The 14,440-nt window shown below is 43.2% G+C and overlaps 1 non-coding gene across 1 annotated transcript; it reads right to left on the bottom strand.

Annotated features, from left to right (window-relative positions):
- Positions 1–2,094: 2,094 nt before the first annotated feature.
- Positions 2,095–2,172, bottom strand: MIR4293 (microRNA 4293). The gene has a single exon (NR_036181.1). It is a non-coding gene; the product is annotated as a microRNA 4293 (primary transcript).
- Positions 2,173–14,440: the final 12,268 nt, after the last annotated feature.

Here is a 14,440-nt window from a genome sequence, read left to right on the forward strand (position 1 = left end):
GGACTGAGTGATTTTCTTTGGTATCCTACAATATTGCTTTCCTTTCCGCCCTGTATTTCCTTTTTCTCCTGGGCATGCAGCGAGACCACAGGCCTACTGCTTCTCCCAGTTTCCCTGTCTTGGGTAAATGGCAACTCCATTCTTCCAGGTCCTCAGATCAAATAACCTGGCATCAGCCTTGATCTCTTATCTCCTATCTCCCATCCAAAATATGGTAAACCCTGTTGGCTCTTCCTTCAACTTATCTCCAAAATTCTACCCCTTGTCACCACCTTCACTGCTACATCCTCAAACCAAGTTTCACCTTGGTTATTGAAACTGCATCCTAACTAGGCTTCCTGATTCCACCATTACTGCCTTATATTCACCCTCCACTCAGCAGCAGGAAGATCCTTCCAATATGTAAACACCCTCTTAGGCTTAGTATCCTCCAGTGACTCCCACTAAATCCTTACAATAGCTTACGAGGTCCTACACAATCTGGCCCAGATCACCTGTCTGAACTCATCTCTCCCATCTCCTCTTCCTCATGACCCTACACCAGCCATACCTGCCTCTTGGCTATTCTGGAAATGCTAAGAATGCTCTCACCTCAGGGCTTTTGCACTTGCTGTTCCCTCTGCTTGGAGCACTCTTCCTCCAGATCTCCATATGGCTTCTTTCCTCACTTGCTTCAAGCCTATGCTCAAGTGTCACCTTGTTGGAGATAATTCCCTGACCACTATGCATGCACACATGCACGCACACACACACACACACACACATACACACACAGAGTAATTCCCCCCATAGCATCTATTGGCCATGGACATACAACACATTTACACATTTACTTTTCTGTATGTTTCTTTCTTTTCTCTGCCACCAGAAAAAAAAGGTTCCACTTGATCAGGAACTTACTCTGTTTTGTTCACTGCTCTGTCTCCAGCACGTGAAACAGAGTGGCATAAAGCAGATGTTCAATTAACATGTATTTAATGAACTGAATGAAGTCACAGGTTTTAAGGAGTGTTAATTCCCATGCACGCCTGAGTAAGAGAAACAATCTCACTTTTCCTTTTGATCACATGAAAGAAACAATAGAAAAACAATAAGTGGTTTCCCCCCAGCTGTAACAGCGCCAGGGACTTCCCACCTGCTGCTTCTGCTTAGAAAAGCAGTGGTGTTTGAAGAATTCTTGGAGGTTATGAGCTCACGTGTCTGTGTTCTGACACATACACCCCCACACGCCCTTGCACACTGCAGTACAGAAGGAAACCCTACTGAGAGAGGTAGGCAGTCTATGTCCAGGCTGTAGAAACAGTGGCTGCCATCACTGCTATGTTACGGACCCTAAATTAGCTTATTTCATGACCCCACAGAGTTACACTGATTGTTTTCACACAGTGTTTCTCAAAGAGTGGGCCAGAGCAGCAGCAGCAGCAGCATCTGCAAACTTGCTGGACATTTGAATTCTTCAACCCATCCCAGATCCACTGAATAGAAGCTTTGCAGGGCTCAGCCCAGTGCTCTGTGTTTTAACGGGTCCTTTGGGTGTTCTGATGCAGTGAAGTTTGAGAACTTCTGCTTCAGTGGACAAACAAGAATGTCTGGGAGGAAGAAAAAGTACCAAAAAAAACTGACAAAATTTTTTAAATGCCATGTAAAGGCTGAGTGCAGTAGCTCATGCCTGTAATCCCAGTACTTTGGGAGGAGGAGGCAAGAGGATTGCTTGAGCCCAGGAGTTTGAGACCAGCCTGGGCAACATAGGGAGAGTCTATCTCTACAAAACAATTAAAAAGTTAGCCAGGCATGGTGGCGTGTGTCTGTAGTCCCAGCTACTTGGGAGGCTGAGGTGGGAGGATCACTTGAGACCAGGAGATGGAGGCTGCAGTGAGCCATGATCCTATCACAGCACTCTAGTCTAGGCAACAGAGCAAGACCCTGTCTCCAAAAATAAATAAATAAATAATAAAATGGCCATGTTAATCCTAATACTGAGTTCTAGCTTTACTTATCAAGCTGTGTGAAACTGAAATAAGGACATCAGGGTGAGGGAACTGGCTCTCTCGGGAGAGGGGAAATCCTATTTCTTCTTCATCACTGACCGCTTGCTTCAGTCAGGCTGTTCCTGTCAGGCTGGTGTGAAATGAATTAGCAATGTCACCAGCTTCCCAAGGAACAGGTGTCTCTGCCATACCTCCGGCAACCAATATCACGACTTTCACTAATTGCTCTGCCCTTGTCAGGCCCTTTGAGGACTAAGTGGGCCCTGGAGATGGAGTGACCCTTTACCTGCTCAGAGCTGCCTTTAATCCCAACCACATGCCCCCACCCCACTGGAGCCCCGGAGCATGGGAAATATGGAGCACCACAGTAGCAATGCAGAAGCATGAGTCACTGCTGAAGCTTGTGGGAGGAAAAATAGAATTCAGGCCTTCTGCTCTAATTACACTTGATTGTTGCCCGTTGTGAACAAGGACTTTTAGGGTTGACGGTATCCTCACCATCGGCCCACTCTGTTGGCGGGACCCAGGAGCTGGTATTGCTGGAGAAATTCACACAGAAGGGGAATCACTTCTTCTTAAAATGAAAATTTGGGCCAGGCTCAGTGTCTCATGCCTGTAATGAGAGCATTTTGGGAGGCTGTGGTGGGTGGATCACATGAGGCCAGGAGTTCGAGACCAGCCTGGCCAACATGGTGAAACCCCGTCTCTACTAAAAAACAAAAATTAGCTGGGCACGGTAGTGCATGTCTGTAATCCCAGCCACTGGGGAGGCTGAGGCAGGAGAATTGCTTGAACCCAGGAGGCAGAAGTTGCAGTGAGCCAAGACTGTGCCACTGTACTCCAGCCTGGGCAACAGAGTGAGACTCTGTCTCAAAAAAAAAAAGAAAGAAAGAAAGAAAGAAATATAAAGAAAATTGGCTCATGTCACTCCTCTGCTTGACTGACATCTGGATTGATTGACAATGCCTTTCCATTGAGCTTAGAATAAAATCTCAAACCCCTCAATGACAGTAAAAAAAAAAAAAAATTTTAATTATGAGCAAGAGACTTGAATAGACATTTCTCCCAAGAAGACACACAAATACCCATTAAGCACGTGGAGAGAGGCTCAATATCTCTAACCATTAGAGAAATGCAAATCAAAACCACAGACTTCACATCCACTGGGATGCTATTATGAAACCCACACATTCAGAAACTTATGAGTGTTGGCAAAGATGTGAAGAAGCTGGAAGACTTGTGAACAGCTAGTGGAAATGTAAAATGGTGCAATCACTGTGGAAAACTGTATGGCAGTTCCTCAAAAACTGAAACATACAATTACCATAGGATCCAGCAGTTCCATTCCTGGATATAGTCTTAAATGGAAAGCAATGACTCAAACAGGTATTTGTACACCCATGTTCATTGCAGCATTATTCACAATAGCCAAGAGATGGAAACACCTAAAATGTCTATCACTGGATGAATCAACCCCAAATGTCATATATCCACACAATGGAGTATTATTCAGCCTAAAAAAGAAAAGAAAATTCTAACACATGCTACAACAGGGATGAATCTTGAAGACATTACGCTAAGTGAAATAAGCCAGACCTAAAAGGACAAAAATTGTATGATTCCTCTTTTGAGGTTCGCAGAGTAGCCAAATTCAGAGAAACAGAAAGTAGAATAGAGGTTACCAGGGGCTGCAGGGAGAGAGGAATGGGGAGTTAGTGTTTTAATGGGTACAGAGTTGCAGTTTGAGATGATGAGAAAGTTATGGAGATAGCCGGTGGTGATGGTTGCACTATAATGTTAACATACTTAGTGCCACTTAAACATAATTAAGATGGTAACTTTGGTATTATGTATATTTTTCAACAATAAGAAGTTTTCAAATCCCAAACCCCTCTCTTATATGGCCCCTTCTCATTTGTCCACCACTCTCTGACATTTCTTGATCTCTTGCTTCTGTGCTTCAGATATCCTGTTTTTATTTCAGTTCCTCAAAAAGGCCAAACTCGTTCTCAACCTCAGAGCCTTTGCACTATCACTTCCTCTGTGGGGAACATTTTTCTCTCTATTCTTTACAAGGATAAATCCTTTTGATGTTTTGTATGTGTGGCAGAGACTACCTAGACGCTCACACCAAGCTGTTTCCTCTTCCTCCTGGGCATACGTGTCTCACTGGGCATACCTGTTCTTCCTGGGCTACACCTGACTTCCCAGCCTCCCTTGCAGTTAAGTGTGTCCAGTGATGGTGAGAAAGAAAATCACCAGCATCACTGCAGGCTTTCTACCCATTCTGGAGAAAACCCTGATGCAGAAGGGCAAGGGGATTATGGAAGGGAAATGTTAAAAACTGAGGAGCCACAGATGGCTGGGGCCAGGGTCCCTGAATCACTGCATGGAAGAGAGGCACCTGCTGATCAAGCCATGTTCATTTTGGATTGTATGTGGGTGGAAAGAAAAAAACTTGTCTTTGAGCCATGACACATTTTGGGGTGTTTCTATTATGCTTAAAACAGCTAGTCTTTCTGTAATACGAACCCCAAAGAGGGGTCTTCTCTGACCATCAATGTCAAATATCTTGCCCCTGTCCATCATTCCCTGCCCCTTTATGTTGTTTCTTATCCTAGCTTCATAGTTTGTAACTTGTTTATTCATTTTAATACATTGATTTTGGAACGTTTTCCCCTCTAGATGGCAACCTTCTTTGATACACAAACTGTATATCTTGTTTGTCACTGCATTTCCCTAACATGCCCAACACGAGCTCAATAAACGTTTATTGCATGAAGGAATCAAGATCTGAATTTCAGCCTGGTCGCCAGTGGTGCTTGTCCATTCTGTTAGACTCTCCACTGCACTCCTGCCATTTCATATAATATGCCTTTAGTCACAGTCCCTTCACTGATGGCCTCAGAGCTATTTGAAACCTGTGCACATTCTGGTTAAACCTTTCATCACAGTATTTGGTGATGCTGCAATGAATGCGGAATGCTGGTCTGTCCCCCACAGACTGAGTCTTTCTAGGGTGTATTGGCATTCCTAGTGTCTAACAGGTAGTAGGCTGGCAAATGAATCAATGAGCCGGTGAATTAATGAATTTATCTCAAGAATTTGAGACTGATCCTATCTCAATTCAGAGGCAGAGCACAGAATGCAACATCATCAAAGATTGACACGTTCCTTGTCTAGACAAGTGCTGCGAGTCACCACAGCCTGCGCGTAGTCTGGTTGGGAAAGAGCCCTGGCTGGGCTGCAGGAGATGTGAACTCAGAGCCTGCCCAGCTCACTGTGCTCTGGCAAGCTACATTCTCTTTCCCTGACTCAATTATCTTACCCATAAAACGTGGCATTTGGGCTAAACAATACTGAAACTGTGTTAACCTTACAGTGACATTACTTAAACCCTGGCAGTCAAAGAGAAAGTAGAAAACGATGCTTTATATCTGTGTTGTCTCATTCAGAAGCCACTAACCACATGTGGCTACCTAGCACTTGAAAGGTGGCCCGTCCAAATTCAGATGTGTTGTAAGCACAAAACGCACACTAGACTTCAAAGATTTAGTATAAAAAATGTACATTTCTCGTTAAAAATTTTTATACTGATTTCATGTGGAAATAATATTCTGGATATATTAGGTTAAATGAAATACCCTATTAATCATTTCGCCCATTTCTGTTTACTTTTCTTAAATGTGACTACTAGAAATTCTAAAATTACACATGTGAGTTGCATTTTGGACAGCACCATTCTATGCTATTATTAGTACTGAAATTCAGCTACATACTTCAGACTATAATGCATAAATCATTGATTCTACATCCTTTCCTGAGTTATCCAAACTCATTGTCAAATGAATCCAAAAAAGGTTCACTAAAGTCGATCTAACTACAATGAAACTTCACTATGAATGGATGCCCATGTAGACATTATGCAGTTTTGTTTCATAACCAATGGGTTTTAGGTTAAAACTATTTCTGAGAAACAAAACAATTCCAGCATTGGAAAATGATAAGCCTAAAACAAACTCAGTAGAGACCAGAAAGACATAAAAAGAAAGGGGCCAGGCGTGGTGGCTCACGCCTGTAATCCCAGCACTTTGGGAGGCTGAGGCAAGCGGATCATGAAGTCAGGAGATGGACACCATCCTGGCCAACATGGTGAAACCCTGTCTCTACTAAAAATACAAAAATTATCTGGGCGTGGTGGTGTGTGCCTATAATCCCAGGTACTTGGGAGGCCGAGGCAGGAGAATCACTTGAACCAGGGAGGTGGAGGTTGCAGTGAGCTGAGATCGCACCACCGCACTCCAGCACTCCAGCCTGGTGACAGAGCGAGACAGTGTCTCAGAAAAAAAAAAAAAAGAAAGGATTTCTTTTCTATTATAGATACTGGGTAGCCCTACGTGCTCCTCTAAGCCCCAGATATAATATCTGTGCTATGGGGAAAGCAAAAAGCATATATTTTCTTTGCTTCGTTCATTTTGTTTTTTAAATTTTATTTATTTATTTTTTTGAGATGGAGTCTCAGTCTGTCATCCAAGCTGGAGTGCAGTGAAGCTATCTCAGCTCACTGCAACCTCCACCTCCAGTGTTTAAGTGATTCTCGTGCCTCAGCCTCCTGAGTAGCTAGGATTACAGGAGCCCGCCACCAGGCCTGGCTAATTTTTCTATTTTTAGTAGAGACAAGGTTTCACCATGTTGGCCAGGCTGGTCTCAAACTACTGACCTCAGGTGATCCACCTGCCTCGGCTGTGGAGGAAAAGTTAAATATTAGATTTGAACTCAGTTGAACATGGACATAACCAATGGACACCAAGTCCCAGAACAGGTTGTATGAGCCCTTTGAGGCTTTCATCCAGCACTGTTTCAGAGAAATCTTTATTTCAATCTATTCCTATATGTTAGTTAGTGAAAAACAATAGACAATCACAAGAATAAGTTGACCTTTTTGTGTTCCTTGACCACAGCAATGAAGAGCCCTCGTGACTGGACCTCATGCCAAACAACTCGCTACAAAAAGAGCTAGGTTCCCAGACTGCGCCGAAGCTTCATGAGACCTCTCCTCATCTGTGCACAGAGGAGTGGCCGACTCTGGAGCCCAGGCGGTCGCTTCCCGGTCTGGTGCTGAATCCTCCATAGTCTGGTGAGTGCAAGTATCTTTTCCCTTCTCCCCTTCCCATTGCAATTTGCTTATTATATCACTTGCTTATTATATCGTTTGCTTATTATATGGTTTGCTTATTATATCTGCATTGTCATTTACAGGGATAAAAGTTGTTCACCCTTAAAGGTATTGTGTGTGTGCCTTTTCTTCTCCTCTCACGTGTTTCCAGCACAGAACATCGGCCTCCCAAAGTGCTGGGATTACAGGCATGAGCCACCGCTCCCGGCCTGTTTCATTCATTTTAGAAATGACCAAATTGTGAGCTGAGATGAAGGTTGGGGTCTGGTAGATTTGTAGAAAGGAGAGAGTGATAACAAGTGTGGGTAAAAATAAGTGTCCGTGGAAGAAGTGAGAAATTTGAGGGAAGCAGAGAGAAACCAGGAGAGAGACCTCGGAGGTTGCTTGCAGGGTCAGCAGCGTCAACATCACCTGGGAACTGGATGGAAACACAGATTCTGGGGCCCATCCCAAAGGGTTAATATGGCGGCACTCAGCTGCTATCCAGGACTTTTTCCTGTTCGTGGAGTCTTGGAAGAACACTCCTCTAGGGCTGGGGTTTCCAAGGTGTAGATCTCTCAAAGCTTTTCTTGAGAAATCCTGAAGCCAGTTATCGTCCTCAACTCTACATCAATGTCCCACCTCCATAGATCACCTGGAATTATTAGATTGGTGCAAACGTAATTGCGGTTTTTGCATCGTTGGAATTTGACATTTGATATTGGATACATTCTTAAATAAATGTGGTTATCTTATACATCATTTTAATGGGCATTTCTTGCTTTATGTTTTTTGGCTAATGACTTATTACTTGCTGTTTATTTTATGTTTATTTTAGACTGTGGAAATAATGTTAGACAAAAAGCAAATTCAAGTGCTTTTCTTATCCGAGTTCAAAATGGGTTGTAAAGCAGCGGCGACAACTTGCGACATCAACAATGTATTTGGCCTACTGTACTAAAAAACATATAGTGCAGTGGTGGTTCAAGAAGTTTTGCAAAGACGAGGAGAGCCTTGAAGATGAGGAGTGTCGTGGCCAGCCATCGGAAGTTGACAAAGACCAATTGAGAGCAATCGCAGAAGCTGATCCTCTTACAACTACATGAGAAGTTGCTGATAACTCAACGACAACCATTCTACAGTCATTGGGCATTTGAAGCAAATTGGAAAGATGAAAAAGCTCAGTAAGTGGGTGCCTCATGAGCTGAGCAAAAATCAAAAAAATTATTGTTTCAAAGTGTCATCTTTTCTTATTCTACACAACAGCAAGGAGTCAATTCTTGATCAGATTTGTGACAGGCAAGAAAAGTGGATCTTATATGACAACCAGTGACAACCAGCTCAGTGGCTGGACCAAGAAGAAGCTGCAAAGCACTTCCCAAAGGCAATCTTGCACCAAAACAAGGTCGTGGTCACTGTTTGGTGGTCTACTGCTGGCCTGATCCACTACAGCTCTCTGAATCCCAGTGAAACCATTATATCTGAGAAGGATGCCCAGCAAATCAATGAGATGCGCTGAAAACCTCAATGCCTGCAGCCGGCATTGGCCAACAGAAACAGCCCAATTCTTCCCCAGGACAAAGCCCAACCACATGTCCCACAACCAGTGCTTCAAAAATTGAACAAATTGGACTACAAAGTTTTACCTCATCTGCCATATTCACACGACCTCTCACCTACCAACTACCACTTCTTCAGACACTTTGACAACTTTTTGCAGGGAAAACGCTTCCATAACCAGCAGGATGCAGAAAATGCTTTCCAACAGTTCATCAAATCCCAAAGCATGGATTTTTATGCTACAGGAATAAACAAACTCATTTCTCATTGGCAAAAATGTGTTGATTGTAATGGTCCCTATTTTTATTAATAAAGATGTTTGTGAACCTAGTTATAATGATTTAAAATTCATGGTTCAAAACCGCAATTACTTTTGCACCAACATGGAGGGAAGGTCCTCTATTTTGGCCTCAGGGCCTATTGTCAGCAGAGTCTTCCTCCCACAAACACTACCCATCCTACTCCCTTCCCAGCGACTTCACCACCTTTGTGGAAAAGGCTCATCTGTAGAACTATGAATCTAGTACTTTCCAAATGAGTTACACAGACACTGAAAACAGGTTAGGAGATAACTCATCTCTAGATGTTTTGTGGTTCCTTGGTTTCAATTATCAAAGCACTGAAATGGAAAGGAATAGTCACACCCAGGCAAATTTGCTTTGAAAAGCCACAAGAGTTGTTGTTGCTGACTTAAGTCTCAATCATGCCCTTAATGAAAGTGGAATCTAGACATAAGAGAGGAATAATGCCTTTAGGTTGAAAGTTTCCTCCTCCAGGAAGCCCTCCATCTCAATCAAGTTCTCCAGTTTTAATCTTTCATTACACTTTCCTTTATAACACTTATTGCAACTGGAAAATATGCGTGTACATATAGTTATTTGCTTAATTTCAGTTCTTTCACTCAACCGTATGGTCTGTGGAGGTAAAAACCTTTTGTATCTTTTTCACCTCTGTATCCTTGGGACCTGCCAGTGTGCAGTGCCTATTGGACACTTAGGAAATATTTGCTGGAGGGATAAGTATCTAAGAAGTACTTTGTAATTATGAAATAACTCTGAGACTTTGTACTTCCATATCTTTCCGAAAAGAAAACTGGGTCTGTAGAAGAGTTGTGGCCAAGAGCAGCAAACAGGCCAGTGAAGGGGTCAGGGCCCTGAGAGCTTTGGGCTCATTTTATCCATGACAGCTCTCAACATGGCTCAAAAAGCCCGAGGGCCAACATTCACCTGGCATGAAAGGGAAGGAAAGTGATTCTGAGGGAAGAAACCTTCTAGGTGTGGCTGACCCATAACCAACAAGGAGATGAGAAAAAACTATAGAAGTTGAATTTTTTTTAAAGGCTAGTGTTTATAGTGAGATTTTCCAAAGATAAATTAAGGAACTGATGTGTTCCTGAACTAGGTCTAACCAGGGTCAATTCCCAAAAGAGTCTCTTAAGTATTTATTTGATCTCATTTCCACAGTTGAGTGGACAACTCTTGCCCATCACTCTTCCTTCTATGCAGTGTTGCTAATGATTCCTCCTACTCCACTTCTTCAAGAACCTTCTCAACAGAAGACGCCAGAGGAGGGGGCCTAAGAAGATACATAGCAGGAAGTCCCCAGCAAACCATTTATCTATTTTCTCCACAGATCTACAATCCCAAATTGTTCAGCTGGAAACACTAGTAGGCTACGTCGCTTGCCCTAAATAAGCTTTGCAGAAATGAACAGATGGAGGAAAATTTCAAAGCAGCATGTGGGCGTTTCAGGCCCAAATCCCATTAACAGATAACAGGATTTATAACAGCAGTTCCCACGCAAAGCTTTGGAAATTTTGAATTTGTGTGTAATAGATTGGGCTCCCTCTCCCCTAAATTATCTGCACGTTGTTCCTGCATCTGGGCAGGGCCCCTTTCTCCAAGCTAAGGAGCCCACATTGTCAGCTAAGAAGTGTGTGTGGTGGCTCACACCTGTACTCCCAGCACTTTGGGAGGTCAAGACAGGCCGATCACTTGAGGTCAGCAGTTCAAGACCAGCCTGGCCAACATGGTGAAACCCCATCTCTACTAAAAATACAAAAATTAGCCGGGTGTGGTGGCGCACACCTGTAATCCTAGCTACCCAGGAGGCTGAGGCAGGAGAATTGCTTGAACCTGGGAGGAGGCGGAGGTTGCAATGAGCTGAGAAGGTGCCACTGTACTCCAGCCTGGGCGACAGAGTGAGACTCTGCCTCCAAAAAAAAAAAAAAAGAAGCAGGAATGGGGCACAGGCCCACAGGTGGCAGCACCAAGTGGTCTTGTTTATATTTCTTTTTTTTTTTTTTTTTGAGGAGTCTTGCTCTGCAATGGCGCAATCTCGGCTCATGGCAACCTCTGCCTCCCAGGTTCCAGTGATTCTCCTGCCTCAGCCTCCCGAGTAGCTGGGACTACAGGTGCGTGCCACCACACCTGGCTACTTTTTAAATTTTTTTTTGTATTTTTAGTAGAGACGGGGTTTCACCATGTTAGCCAGGATGGTCTCGATCTCCTGACCTCATGATCCGCCCATCTCGGCCTCCCAAATATATTGCTTCTTAATTCTCTCCTTCTCCCACAGAAGAGTTGCGACAAGTTCTGGAAGGGTGGTGGATGGGTTGTGGCAAACTGGAATTTTGATTCAAAGCAAAGACAACTAGATTCATTGCTGTCAGGAACCCAAAGCACATGGCTGCCTGTCTCAACAAAACAAGAGAACCTAGACCCCAAGTTAATGTCAGCAAATTGGGATGCACCTCCTGGCACTATCACAAAGGTATTGACACAGTGACTGAAACAGGGGGATCCCTCAGAAGCAGTCTGGAAAGAACTTCTCATAGCTACTCAGAAGTAGATGTAAGAAACTCCAAGCATTCCTTGATGAGATGGGGAAGATTTGTGGGTTGGACTCCCACAGGGAGCTATTGACTGGATGCCATTGTTAGTGAGATCCATAGTTGCTTTATGTTCCCCTTCAGTATGATAGGGGTGTGAAAACCCGAATTACCCTATTAGGACTAGAGTAGAAAGGAAAGTTCTTAATAAGGTCATTGACTACCCTGAAACTGTTTTAACACTTAAGGATAAAAATCCGTAAACAGCAGCAGCTCAAGGTTGAAGAAAGTCTGTAAGTTTTCCCCCGCTCCAGCAACTGACCTGGGTGCAGGTCTCCTAGTTTCATGCATGTCCCATTGAATCACTGTCCTCCAGAAATGCAGAGACACATGAAACAGCTTTATGACCAATTCAAGTGGCCACAGAATACAGTATCAGTGAGTTGGGGTCCCAGGCACATCTTATAACCCAGGCAAAATAGCATCCACACTATCCAGTGATATGCAAATACTTCCAACCTATTTCTGCTTTGACTTCCACAAGGAAGCCTTCCTGACTTCCCTGGCTCCCTCTCAAATGCGCCCATGACATCCAGTTCTTCTTTACTGCATTTCCCCTGCCTGTCATTAGGCATGTAATGAGTTTCCATTACATGCTTAATGTCTGTCTTCTTTGCTAGATTGTGAGAGTGGAAAACATGTCTATTTGTCTCACCATTTTAACCCCAGAGCTTAGAAAGTATATGTTAACTAACTCCTGACTAATGGCCTAGAATACTTCGGGCATTATTTAATAAACAAAGAACTGAGTGAATAAATGACTGAATCGGTTAATCAATAGCATTCAATAAGGTGGGGGGGATTTTATAACATTCCTTCAAATAGGGGAGCATACGGCATGAAGAGTTATAACACAAAGTGCTAGTCATATACCATAAGATCAAAATCACTATTAAGAGTACTTGGTTGGGCTGGATAGGGACGTTGACCTTCAAAAGATTCAGTGAGAACCCTTGGTTGAAGGAGATAAACTAAAACCTCAACTTCAATGGTTATCAGATGCACATTTCTCCAATCTGGTGTATTTCCAGCCACACCCAGGCAAGCAAGGAGTATCTTGATATATCTGCTTTACTAAACCAGATCCCCTAAGAAAATTATGGTATCATTTATAGAGATGATCACTTTTGGGTAACCAGATAGGCATTATTCAAGAACTCAGAATGTACACTCAAAATCACGTACATGACACTGAATCCTAGAGGATTCAGTACCACAGGAATCCTAGAGGAGTCTTTGCTCACTTTACCCACTTCTCTTGAACATATACATATACATATACACTATTTACTAGGCTATATTTATGCTGACTATCTAGAACATGGTAGTCCTAAGTGTGTCAGGTGATTATAGAAAATGCCCTATATTCATTACATAACTTTGGCTGCCTACTTTTATTTATGTGAAATGAATCAGACTCCTAGTTGAATACAGATGGACTAATGGCCCACCACATATATTAATCTTATTGAGTTCAGTGAGGCTTTTGTGTCTGATTTAAGAGGGAGTATATGCATTTTCTCAGTCCCTGAAATCTGATCAACAGCAGTCATAAGACCAGATATCAAAGTGTTGGGTTCTGGAAGTATAGCATGCTCATGTAAGCTTAAGAACAAAGTTTGACAGACCTCATTTTAGACTATGTGAGCTTTCTGGTTGTGATGGTTAATTTTTTGTGTCAACTTGACTGGGCCAAGGGATGCCCAGATAGCTGGTAAAATTATTATTATTATTTCTGCATGTATGTTTTCAGAAGAGGTTAGCATTTGAATTGGCAGGCTGAGTAAAGATCACCTCACCAATGTGACAAGCGTCATCCAATCTATTGAGGCCAGAAGAGAATTTTAAAAATGGAGGAAGGACAAATTTGCTTTTTTTTTTTTTTTTAAGAGATGAGGTCTTGCTTTGTTGCCCAGGCAGGCTGGTCTGGAACCACCGGCCTCAAGTGATCCTCCTGCCTCGGATTCCCAAAGTGCTGGGATTATAAGTGTGAGCCACTGTGCCCAGCCATCTCTCAAGCTGAATGAGACATGCATCTTCTCCTGCCCACAGACATTAGAGCTCCTGGTTCTTTGGCCTTTGGACTCTGAAATACAACATGAGTGGCCTCCAGTTTCTTAGGTCTTTGGACTCAGACTGACAGTTGCACCATTGGCTGCCCTGGTTCTCAAGTCTTCAGACTCGGACTGAATCACCCCATCAGCTCCTCCGGGTCTTCAGTTTGAAGACGGCATATCATGGGACTTTGTGGCCTCCATCATTATGTGAAGGAACTCCCATAATCAATCTATCTATCTATCTATCTCTCTATCTATCTATCTATCTATCTATCTATCTATCTATCTATCTCCTTCTCCCCTGCCCCTTTTCCCCACACCCAAAGGTGTCTTCCTTTGGCTGAAGGTTGTTGTACAATTGTATTCTATTGACCACCAAATATGAGCACTGCTTAATTTAACTTTTCTCAATTTTTTGAGATTAGGAAGTGCTTAGTCCTGCACTTTGAGTTTCTGTTTTTGTTTTTTCTGAGATGAAGTCTCACTCTGTTGTCCAGGCTGAAGGGCAGTGTTGAGATCTCAGCTCATTGCAACCTCTGCCTCCCAGGTTCAAGCCATTCTCGTGCCTCAGCCTCCTGAGTAGCTGGGATTACAGGCACGTGGCACCACTCCCGGATCAGTTTTGTATTTTTAGTAGAAATGAAGTTTCACCATGTTGGCCAGGCTGGCCTCAAACTCCTGACCTCAAGTGATCCACCCACCTTTGCCTCCCGAAGTGTTAGGATTAGAGCGTGAGCTACTGCACCCAACCACTTTGAGTTCTTGAACTCATTTTACAAACAAAGTTTAT

This window comes from Homo sapiens, chromosome 10 (assembly GCF_000001405.40).
Source record: "Homo sapiens chromosome 10, GRCh38.p14 Primary Assembly".
NCBI classification, from domain to species: domain Eukaryota; kingdom Metazoa; phylum Chordata; class Mammalia; order Primates; family Hominidae; genus Homo; species Homo sapiens.